Here is an 11,911-nt window from a genome sequence, read left to right as displayed (position 1 = left end):
TCCTCATTCTATTATTTTTTTTTAAAAAAAAGAAATGGGTTTAAAAACATGTATAGAGTATAAAAACAAAACTTGGGTACCCCAATAATCTCTTCCTCATGAAAAGTTACTAGTATCTTTTTGGCATGGTTTACTAAAACTTTAAGAGTTGAAATTTCCACCTGTAGTGCCTTTTCTTTTCTCCCCCTCTCTCCCTCTGCCTTTCCAGATCCTTTCCCTCCCTACTATGAGAGAGGAAGACTAAAATAGTATTGCCATGTTTCTCAGAGTAATAGAATTAATTTTAACCTTTATAGCACTTGTCCTTGAATTGACTATTACTTTAGTACAGAAGTAAAACTTGATTTAAGGGAATACTGCTTATCTATCCTGAGTGAGGTTCTGTATTAATTGCTATAGGGGTTGTAAATATGAACAAAAGTCTGTTTCTGACTTCAAAGAACTTTACAGGGTAATAGTAAACCTAAGAGAGAAATAATGATAAACACACTGACTTTTCTCCTTACAGTTTAGGCAGGTTCCATGGACAAAACCTCATTTGGTCCTTAAAACATTATTGTGAAGAAGATAGGACAGATACTATTTTCCAAACTCTACAAATGAGATAGAAATTTTAAAAATCCTGAAAGGATTGCAAATAACTAGATGGACAAATTGTTATTATAGCTAAATGAGTTCTAATTATATATGTGCATATGAGTATATATATGTGTGTCTGCGTGTATTGTGTGTGTGTGTGTGTGTGTGTATTCTGCTGTCATCACCTCCCATAGCTTATCCTTGGAAAGGAAGTACCTTGGCTTAGCAAAATATCTATCCCACTGATCTGTCACAATGTTTAAAATGTCATTTTAGAAATTCCAAACTCTGGGTGTCTACAGGAGGTAGAACAGTCTGAGAGAGAAATGGAAAAAAAAATACTAAACACTAATAATACAAAGTAGATAACTTTACTTCATAACTGAGCTCCTTAGATAATGACAGGTTGGGGCCAGGCATGGTGGCTCATGCTCGTAACCCCAGCACTTTGGGAGGCCGGGGCACAAGGATTGCTTGAGGCCAGGAGTTTGAGACCAGCCTGGGTAGCATAGGGAGAACCCCCCTCCACCCCCACATCTCTACAAAAAATCAATTAGCAGAAGTTGTGTCGCATGCCTGTGGTCCCAGTTACACAGGAAGCTGAGGTGGGAAGATTGCTTGAGCCTGAGAGGTCAAGGCTGCAGTGAGCCATGATCACGCTACTGCACTCCAGCCTGGTGACAAAACCCTGTCTCCATTTTAAAAATAAATAAAAAGAGAGAATGAAAGGTTGGTGTACCTGTCCTGAACAAAATGGGAAGAGTTTTGATGGGAAGGAAGAGAGACAGACTGCAGTAAAGCCCTGGACACAGCATCCTGAGGATCCCTGTAAAAGTGAGTATAGAGTGGGCCAGGCGTGGTGGCTCACGCCTGTAATCCCAGCACCTGGGGAGGCCGAGGCGGGCAGATCACGAGGTCAGGAGTTGGAGACCAGCCTGACCAACATGGTGAAACCCCGTCTCTACTAAAAATACAAAAATTAACCAGGCGTGGTGGTGCATACCTGTAATCCCAGGTACTCAGGAGGCTGAGGCAGGGGAACTGCTTGAACCCGGGAGGCGGAGGTTGCAGTGAGCCGAGATCACGCCACGGCACTCCAACCTGGGTGACAGAGCGAGACTCTGTCTCAAAAAAAAAAAAAAAAAGAAAAGAAAAGAAAAGAAAAACTGAGTATAGGGTGGAGGTGGAGTGGATGTTTATGTTTAAAAAGGGGGAGAAATGGACTCACTTCACAATTTTGCTTCCATTTATACCTAAACCCTGGGGCTCAGGGTTTCAGTTTCCAGTAGGCCTATGTTGGAAATTCACCTGCAAGGTACAAGTTTCCCTGACAGACCACCAAATAAACAATGGTCTTTTAAAAACAAATCAACTTTGGTACCATCTACTCAGCTGGCATTTACCTTCCTTACCTGCTACCAACCTCATTCTTAGAATTAAAGAAAAAAGGCGAATTCTAAAGCCCCTTCTACTCACTTTCCTCCACTAAGGCCATAGCTTACATCTGCTGCTCTTTTTTCCATACTCCTTTTTTCTCAACTCCTTTCTTTCATATTTGCCAGAAATTTAAGGTCGTTTGGGTTCCTCTCATTTAAAAAGTTCAACTGAAGTGTGTTGCTACACCTTAATCAAAAGTTTATGGCTGAGTTATTTAGCGTTTCTTTACCCACTTCCTCTGCTCAATCCTTCATCTCCTCATAACCATTGAAATGAATGCTATGAATATCTCAATGCTTAGCATGGTGCCAGGCATTTAGGTGTTGAAAAAAATGTTAAGCGAATATTAGTTATTAGGTAAGAGCATTGTCTGTAAAACTCTGAAAAGTCTTAAAAGTGATTCCTAAAATTTCACAAGCTCATAAATTCTTTAGTCTGCAATTATGATTCCTGAAATATTCTTCGATTCATGAAAGACTGGACTAGGAAATTCTAAAAATCGACATAAAGCATAAAAAGCCACTCTGAGGTTTATGAAATTTACAATGTTTTGTCTTCTTTTAATTCATTCGTACTTTTCTCTCAGGATACAAAGGGCAAAACTGTTTGTGTAGTAACTCAGAATTGAGTAGTTACACATCCATTAGGTTTCAGAATCGTTAAAATTTTATCTGGTTTAGGAAACTGCTTACCTTGGAAGGGCAAATTGCCATTTCTCTCCATCTGGGGATCAGGGAAGCAAGGGAAGCCCCCCTAAACATCACTTCCACGCTCCTATATTATGCTAAGGAACTTCTGGTTGATTCATTAGGCATTTCAGCAGTGTTTTTGGCCGGTACTAGGAACTGTGGAGAGGTATAGAAAGGGAGCAAGTGCACAGTCCCGGCCCCCAAAGAGGTTACGATGCAAATAGAAGCAGGCTCAGAACTCGGAACAAAAGCAGTGACTGCATAATAATGCACTGCTGGGGGTGGGGGATGGGGATCTGCACGCCCGGTTTGTGACTTCAGGAAAGCAGTTTCCAGGAGGTGAGAGTTTAAGCCAAACCTGAAAGAGGTTGATTTGTAATGATTTGCAGGGGGGCACTGGAGGCAGCCGCCAGGACTTTTCACTTAGGAGATCAGCATTTGCCCTGATGGAAACTGGGCGATCCTGCAGGGACTGACCTCTGAGTTATCCAAAGGCCGACCTGGGGAAAGACTGATTTTGAGGTTTTAATAGGTAAGTTTGGGGACATCATTGATGAAGGTGGGCAGGGAAGGAGGCTTTTTTCTTTTCTTTTTTTTAATGTTACAGTAAAAAGCTTAGATTCGATGAGACGGGTTAAAAAACAAATAGGAAAATTTAAGGAGAAGAATGACTATGATTGCTATGTAAAAATAAAATTGCAATAGAGAGGTTCTGGAGCTCAGGAAATGAGCTAGAGCATGCTATAATTTAGGCCTAGATAGTGAAGATCATGAATAAAATGGTAGCTGAGGAAATTTCAAAGTTGAATAAGTAGTAATAAGTATGAAGAAAAAGCTAAACTACAAACATCTGCTCTTTAATTACTAACACTAGTAATGAGAATTTGTCTCCAGCCTCTTCCCTTCCCACTCCGCACCTCTTCCTAGCTTACATCATTGTATTAAGGCATTTTATTGAAGACACTATTCAGCACTCTCCACCTATGCCTTACACAGCTTGCCTTTGCTTTTCTTCCCATTTCACTTTTTCTCTTCATTTATTCACATCATTTTAGTCCTTAAAAGACCCCGCCCAATTACTAGATCAGAGGGAGGCAACTAAGACTCTTCCTATCTCCCAAACGACCTTCCAGAATGGTTTTATGGCATTATAATAGGAAAGCAAGAGTTTTGATTTTTCTATTATTAATATTTTGCTTTCAAGGAATTACAGGAAAAACCATATTGCATGCCAGAAATACTTAAATTTTAAATATTTCATCTTAAGAGATGCCCTCATGTAATGCTTTTAATGCATTTGAGAAATTCAGGTGGTGGGCAAAAGTACAACATAGAGGTTAGATGTTTTGAGTGGGAGAAGTGCACTGGGGTCATTATTGAATCAGAATTATTATGCACTTAAATATATAGAAAAAAGAACAAAATGAGTATTAAACTATGCAAATTCATCCCTTTAATCTTTATTTGCATGACTACATTTTATGCAGTTGTAACCTTAATGTACATATTTGGTATTTTTTTCAAACATGAATTGATTAGACATTGTTGCTATTTTGTATCTATTTTGTTAACATAAGAACTTCCTGTGTTATATCAGATTTTTTTTTTTTTTTTTTTTTTCTGAGACGGAGTTTCGCTCTTGTTGCTGCCCAGGCTTGAGTGCAATTGTGGATCTAGGCTCACCACAACCTCCGCCTCCTGGGTTCAAGCGATTGTCCTGTCTCAGCCTACCGAGTAGCTGGGATTACAGGTGCCCGCCACCAGGCCCGGATAATTTTTGTATTTTTAGTAGAGACAGGGTTTCACTATGTTGGCCAGGCTGCTCTCGAACTCCTGACCTCAGGTGATCCACCCGCCTTGGCCTCCCAAAGTGCTGTGATTACAGGCGTGAGCCACTGCGCCCGGCCTCTATGTCAGACCTTAATTAGCCATTTCCTGTTAGTTAGAATCCTGTGCCGCTCCTTCTTGCCTTTTACGGTGTTTGGATAATATGCTGTGAATACCTTTGTGCACTCATTTCTTTATTCAGGTCATACCACTGAAACATACTCCCCAGAATAAAACTGATGATGAAAAGATAGGAACAATTTTATACCTTGTCTTACATATTGCAAGATTTTGCACTGCATTGATGTATTGTTAACTTTGCATGTTTGTCTTCTTTTTAAGCTCTCCTTGGAGAGTTTTTAAATTTTCAGTACACTCCACAGGGTGGCCAAAGTAGAACTGCTTTGTCATTGAGTATAGGTTCAGTTAAAAACAACAATCTGGCTCAGAGTTGAACACAAAGAATCCAATAAATATTAATGGGTTAATTTTCAGGTACCTTAGCCTTGACTTTCCTGTTTTCCAGATTTCCCCTCCTTTTCCTTTTCGGTATGTACTTCATTATTTAAATGGGCAATTTCGGGTTAGGCAGTTCTAGATAGCGGTTCCCTTCCTGTGCCCGTTCTGGAACCTCTCTCGCCCTTCTGCGGTGCGAAAAAACCCAATTCACAGCCGTCATCGCCACTGAAGTTACACCCAGGGGTCGCTTCAAGAAGGAAACGTTTTCTTTAAGAATTTCTATGCCAGTGAATTGGGGAAGGTTTTAAAGATAACGGAGTTTGCCACGCGTTTCTGCCAAACAATTCGACGTTGTGTAAATCGCAGAAATTCCAGGAAGGACTAACGACGTCCGTGGATGATTCTGCGGCTCACAGGCACACAGGACACGCTGGGTTTACCCTCCCGTGTCCCGACGGCACTACAGGTGCGAAGCCCGCCCGGGGAGGCAGTGCTTGTTGTTCGCGCAGACCCACTTGCGGCGCCGGGGACCGTCCGTGGCCCCGACCCCCCCACGAGGCGCGGAAGGCGGCCACCGGCAGGTTCTCGGTGCCCGCGAAGAGCCGGCGCAGGGGTGGGGCTGTGGGAGGGGGCGGGGCCTGCTGCGCGTCACGGCTGTCGTAGCCGCCGCACCGGGTCGTCGCGGCCGCCGAACCGGGGGGCGGGGGGCCGGGGTGAGCGCTAAGATGGCCGCCCCGGCTCGGGCTGGTGAGTGTGCGCGAGGGCGCGCGGCCGCGGCGATTGGCGGAGTGAGGACCCCTGCGGGAGCGGACGTGCGACGGCAGCCCCCGGGGCCGGGAGGCACCTGGGGGCCTATTCTCGCCGCGCAGGGCGCTGGGGGGTCCTGAGAGAGGGAGAGCCTGGGGCTGCGGGCGCGCGGAAGGGAATGAGCCGAGGGGCGCGCGGCGGCGACGCGTCCGGCGAATTTTGAATTGCCCCCCTGGGAAGTTTCGGTGGGTTCTGCGGCGCTCCGACCCTGTCCCGGCGGCAGCCTCAGAGTGCCCGGAGATGCTGCGGCAAGGCGCAGCGGGCTGGAGGGGGCGAGCTGGGGGAGAACGGGCGCGGGCGAGGGCTTCGGGGACTGGAAGGGGCTTCGCGCTGATCCCGGCACGAGCGTCGTGGAGAGGTGGGCGCGGGGCTGGCACGGGCTGGGCGCTGTGTGGAGCACGCAACGCCCGGGTCCAGCCGCATCCCTCCACCCTCCCGGATTACCGCGAGGTGATGCTCGAAGCCCCGGGGCACTTCGGGAGGGCGGTTGTGGCACTCGGTTGAGGAGGAATGCGCTTCCCGGCGTCTTGCCCGCCTTCTCTCCATCGATCGGTCCCCGCGCTGCCGGCACCTGCTGCCGCTTAAAGCTTGAAAATCAGCTTCCTAAAGCCATTCCCGATGGCCTTCGATGGGAAAGAATGCCATATGGCTGAATTCATTATGGGGGATAAGAAATATGTCAGTGTGCGCGGAGGGGAACCTGTTAATACGTTCAAATTTAAGAGTAGGTAAGACACCATACCCCGCCCCCATGAAAAAAGAAAGTGAACTATATAGTAACTGTTCCAAATGCAAGGTTGAGCTGTTGTTAAATTCTACTGGTAGCTCGCAGTTTTTATACTGGAAGCAAAACCATTTAGGAACCCTTGGGAGATTCACTTTCTCCTCAGACCAGTCCTCAAGTCCCCCACTCCCGCCACCTTTTAAGCTTTAATTGTTGTATCTGGGCAAGTAACGGGGATTGTGAAATTTGCATGGAAATAAGACCTTCAGGTCCTGCACTTGAATTCCTTATCTGTTAAGTAGCTGCCTGTGGGGGTGAAAGTAGGGGTGGTGACTTTTGGGCCTGGAATTCCATTTTGAGTTGTGTTCAAAACGAGCATTTGGTGTAAACAAGGAAAAAGAATGGGCTGTTCACTGTGGTGAAATGCGGAAAGCCAAATAGAAGTTAAGCACATGCTTAGAGAATATTTCATAATCTCAATGAGATTCAATATTCAGTTGAATCTTGAAAGAGATGAAAATTTGTATTCTTGGAACTCTAATCGTTTTGTCCTTAATTTAGCATCTCAGGATATTTTAAAGAGCGTTTAAATGTTTTGGCACATTCAAGTTTTCTCTCCCCATTCTATCTTTTTTCATAGTAGCCATTAGTTTTGCATATGTTCGATGTCAGATTTTTCAGTCCAGTATTTATCACTGTGGGCTATCCAAATTCAAATGTAGAGATATTCTAATATTGAACAGTTAGTCCAGTGCATACAGTTTAGAAAGCTGAAATATTTTGACTACTTTGTGTATCAGTCCTGTTTTTCTTCCCAAATGTTAATTGTTTGAGATTTTTTAGCTTAAAAATTTTTAAGTGATAAATGAACCTGCATTTAGTATAATATACAATGGTACACTTTTTGGAATATTTAAAATGGAAAATCTGTTGAAGATTTGGGTTAGATATTTGAAATAAATTTTCTACCCAGTTGTCTTTCTCCCTTTTCTACAGATTTATCTTTTCTGTACTACAAAGAAAGAAAGCGTCATATCCACTCTACCAAACTTCTCCTCTACACACTTGAATCTATTACAGCGTTTTGGTGCCTAAGAGAATTTTCTGCTCATTGGGTTGTTTGAGGGCAGAGTCTGTGTTTTATATGTGTATCTCTAGTACCCGACTAACTGCTTAACGTGGAGGAAAAACCCCCGTGTAAATTTGTTGAATTGGGGTTTTGAATGGTAGAGGATACAGAAATTTGGCTTCTTGGTAGCCAAAAACAAAACAAAAAAACAAACACGTGCTTTGAAGTCTCTGTCCTTCCTGCAGTGTTAGGCAGAACAAACGTGGGTGCCAGATTCTAATGGAGTTGTCTGGTCCAGGGAGATTAGCGAGAGGCTGGGGCACGGGCTCAGGAGTCTAATCAAGATAGGAAATAAATCGTGTGCCCGAATAATTCTCTGAATTCAGTAACGGGGGACAGTTTTGCTATTAGGCCCAGCCTAAATAGGTGACAAATAACTGAAATACAGGAGGATTCTACAAATAATGGCTTTCTGGCTAAAAGGTGATTGTAAAAGGTGTAACATTCACAGCAATTTTAGACGCCATAAAAAACTTTATTAGGAAGAATTCATTTTTAATGGAGTTTTACACGTCATAGGAAAAAGGTAATTTGTAGTCTAACGATATACTTGCTAGATCAGATCATAGATGTGCTGGAATGACAGAGTCTAGGCATTTTACACACAGAGTATTTGAATTCAATTTTTCAGACCCTTGGTAGGATGCTCAGTATTATTCTGAATGTTTCTCCCATTGTTACGAAGTTAGCTGCGGTAGATTGATGTGTAAATTTGTTGATGTGACACTGATGATAAATGTTTTGGAACAAAATTACTTGTTAAGTAGGGATGGGGGTGAGAAATTCAAATAACCCGGAGGCAGAAACTGCTTTCAGGAGCTTTATCTTACAACGTGTTCAACTAGATTCAATCTCTGCTTCAGGAGAGGCATGTTAGAGACATGAGGAAGGCCCAAGGGAAAAGGGTGTCCTTTATTGTTTAATGAGGAGTTCCAAGCAAGATCAGGGTAATTATAGATTCTAGATCTCTAAAGGAAGAAAGAATAACCAGGGCCTTTCTAGGGATAAAGGAAAGGAAATACATCATGATTGACATGGAGAGGTGCCAAAGCACATAATGGACATAATAGCATACCTAAGAGGGAGTAGGGGAGGGTTTGAGAGCCCATTGTGTTCATTCGCTCAGTAATTTGTTCATTCAAAAATATTGAACCCCTTTCTGTGAACCAAGCACTGTGCTTGACCCTTGGCGTTTCACAAACATTTCTTAAGAGGACAGAATACTATGGTGGTTCCGTGAAGTAAATGGAAAATGGAAAATTGCTTATACGAGTGGGTAAGATTTACCCTAATTACTGCAAACTATGGATAAAGTTGTTTTCATTCTTATCCAAATGCATTGTGGTGGTTAGTAATTCCTAAGGCCTACTTCCTACCGAAATTACCATTTCCTCCTATCTTTTATTATGGAAAATAACAAATCATACAACTTTTAATAGCCTGTAGAGGATCTGTTTGGTTTGTTACTGTTTAAAGAAAAATGTTTTGTTACAAAAATTATCTTCATTAAAATAGTCAACATATTCTCCCTCTGGGAGATTTCAAGTTTTTTTTTTTTCGTTTTTGTTTTTAATGAGATGGTTACTGTGACACTTTTATTTTTAAATGTGTTCTATTTTATGCCCAGTGGTACTTATATTTCTTCTTTCTTTAATAGAGTTAGAATGTATATGTGTTCCTGTAAAATATGAATGCCCATTTCTTATGAAAATCGTTTATATCCCAATTATGAAGAGTTTTAAAAATTAAACATTCACAATAAGATTTGTTAAAAACATCTTAACAAAAGATGTTTGGGAAGTAGTTAGTCATACATGAGAGTAGAAAAGTGTATATTGTTCCAAAGTTCAAAGGCTTTTATGTGCCATGTTAAGAAGTTTAGATTTAGCTTGTGGTCTTTCAAGACTTTAAACAATCTTAATATTTATAAAATCGTGGCTATTTTAGAAATACCTTAATATTGATAAAATTGTGGTTATAAGACACTAAGACATATAAAATGTAAATATTGTATGATGATTATTTGACTAAATATGAGCTATGGCGGGGGGAAGCTTCTTAATGAAAATGTTATCTCAGTGTCTATTCAGATTTTAACATATAGATTAATTCTTTTTTTCTTTATTTTTCCACACTATACAGATGTATAGACTAATTCTTTTTAGGAATGTATTTTTGCCATTTCCCTCATTCTGTCACTTTATTAAATAGTAATTTAATTTGACTTTTTTGTGTGTTTATTCATCATGGTAACTTCCTGACTTTCATTAAAATATTTTTTTAAAGAAGGGATCTGAAAATTGAGCTACTGATTACGCCAATTAGATCTATATTACATTATTCATACCATTGACCTTTGGTACCTGATATCCTCTTGTAAGAACCTCCAGGGCTTACAGCTGTATCGTCCCTTTCCATGCTTTCTTTCCAAGTGTCTTCATAAACTGAGGTTGAAAGAGAGTGGCTGGCTGAAAAGTTTATTATGTCAAAGATAACTAAAATTGGCTGGGCGCGGTGGCTCACACCTGTATTCCCAGCACTTTGGGAGGTCGAGGCGGGTGGATCACAAGGTCAGGAGATCGAGACCATCCTGGCTAACACAGTGAAACCCTGTCTCTACTAAAAAATACAAAAAATTAGCCGGGCATGGTGGCGGGCGCCTGTAGTCCCAGCTACTTGGGAGGCTGAGGCAGGAGAATGGCGTGAACTCGGGAGGTGGAGCTTGCAGTGAGCCGAGATCGTGCCACTGCACTCCAACCTGGGCGACAGAGCGAGACTCCATCTCAGAAAAAAAAAAAAAAAAAAAAAAGATAACTAAAATTTACAGTGGAATGTCCGTTTGTTTTTGTTTTGTTTTGGGTTTTTTTCTTTTTTTTTTTTTTTTTTTTTTTGAGATGCAGTCTCCCTCTGTCTCCCTGGCTGGAGTGCAGTGGCGCGATCTCGGCTCGCTGCAAGCTCCACCTCCTGGTTTCACGCCATTCTTCTGCCTCAGCCTCCGGAGTAGCTGGGACTACAGGCGCCCGCCACTACGCCTGGCTAATTTTTTTGTATGTTTTGTAGAGACAGGGTTTCACTGTGTTAGCCAGGATGGTCTCAATCCCCTGACCTCGTGATCTGCCCGCCTCAGCCTCCCAAAGTGCTGGGATTACAGGCGTGAGCCACCGCGCCCGGCCTGGTATGTTAGTTTTTGAAGTAAAAAAAATTTAGCTACCCTTCTGATTTTTCAGTAATTCTTGTAGCTTTCAAGTAGCTGGGGACTATAGTCATGCACTGCCACGCGTGGATTTTTTAAATTATTTGACTAGAGATGAGATCTCACAATATTGCTGGAAAAACATCCTTCTTGTCTCTTTTTTTCTTCTTTTTTTCTAGAGACAGGGTCTTGCTATGTTGCCCAGTTTGGGACTTACTATTTTCTTTTTCTTTTTCTTTTTTTTTTTTTTTTTTTTTTGAGAAAGAGTCTTACTCTGTCTCCCAGACTGGACTGCTGCAGTGGCATGATCTCGGCCCACTGCAACCACCACCGCCTCCCAGGTTCAAGTGATTCTCCTGACTCAGCCTCCCGAGTAGCTGGGACTACAGATGCGTGCCACCACGCCCGGCTAATTTTTGTATTTTTAGTAGAGACGGGATTTCACCGTGTTGGCCAGGCTGGTCTTGAACTCCTGACCTCAAGTGATCCACCTGCCTCAGCCTCCCAAAGTGCTGGGATTACAGTCATGAGCCACAGTGCCCGGCAGGACTTACTATTTTCTTTCTTTTTTTTTTTTGAGACAGAGTCTCCTTCTGTCACCCAGGCTGGAGTGCAGTGGTGCGATCTAGGCTTACTGCAAGCTCCGCCTCCCGGGTTCACGCCATTCTCCTGCCTCAGCCTCCTGAGTAGCTGGGACTACAGGCGCCCACCACCATACCTGGCTAATTTTTTGTATTTTTTAGTAGAGACGGGTTTCACCATGTTAGACAGGATGGTCTCAATCTCCTGACCTCATGATCCACCTGCCTCAGCCTCCCAAAGTGCTGGGATTACAGGGTGAGCCACCATGCCCAGCCAAGGACTTACTATTTTCAACCTCTGGTTGTTTTTTTTTGTGTTTTGGTTTTTTTTTTGAGATGGAGTCTTGCTCTGTCACCCAGGCTGGAGTGCAGTGGCTCACTGCAACCTCCGCCTCCAGGGTTCAAGTGATTCTCCTGCCTCAGCCTCCCGAGTAGCTGGGATTATGGGTGCCCACCACCACAACCGGCTAATTTTTGTATTTTTAG

At 42.8% G+C, this 11,911-nt stretch overlaps 1 protein-coding gene across 28 annotated transcripts in view, besides 1 other annotated feature; it reads left to right on the top strand.

The window, feature by feature from the left end:
- The window catches only part of USP44 (ubiquitin specific peptidase 44), a 35,122-nt gene continuing 26,038 nt past the window's right edge, over positions 2,828-11,911 (top strand). For 11 of the 28 annotated variants that reach the window (NR_144947.2, NR_144945.2, NR_144946.2 and 8 more), the window contains exon 1: positions 5,707-5,738. The gene's annotated coding sequence lies outside the window, so the exon portion shown is untranslated. Of the gene's footprint in view, positions 3,238-4,155; positions 5,458-5,706; positions 5,984-6,270; positions 6,527-11,911 lie in introns of those variants that run through there. The other 17 variants (XR_944757.2, NM_032147.5, XM_005269172.2 and 14 more) reach the window with 7 other exon arrangements.
- Positions 11,399-11,898: an enhancer, noted in NCBI's record as "H3K27ac hESC enhancer chr12:95936387-95936886 (GRCh37/hg19 assembly coordinates)". NCBI's record gives its function as "activates a minimal SCP1, AML or CMV promoter by ChIP-STARR-seq in naive H9 embryonic stem cells {active_cell/tissue: H9 hESC(naive)}" and the evidence as "EXISTENCE:reporter gene assay evidence [ECO:0000049][PMID:30033119]".

This window comes from Homo sapiens, chromosome 12 (genome assembly GCF_000001405.40).
Source record: "Homo sapiens chromosome 12, GRCh38.p14 Primary Assembly".
NCBI lineage: Eukaryota > Metazoa > Chordata > Mammalia > Primates > Hominidae > Homo > Homo sapiens.
This window is presented reverse-complemented; position numbering and strand designations above follow the sequence as displayed.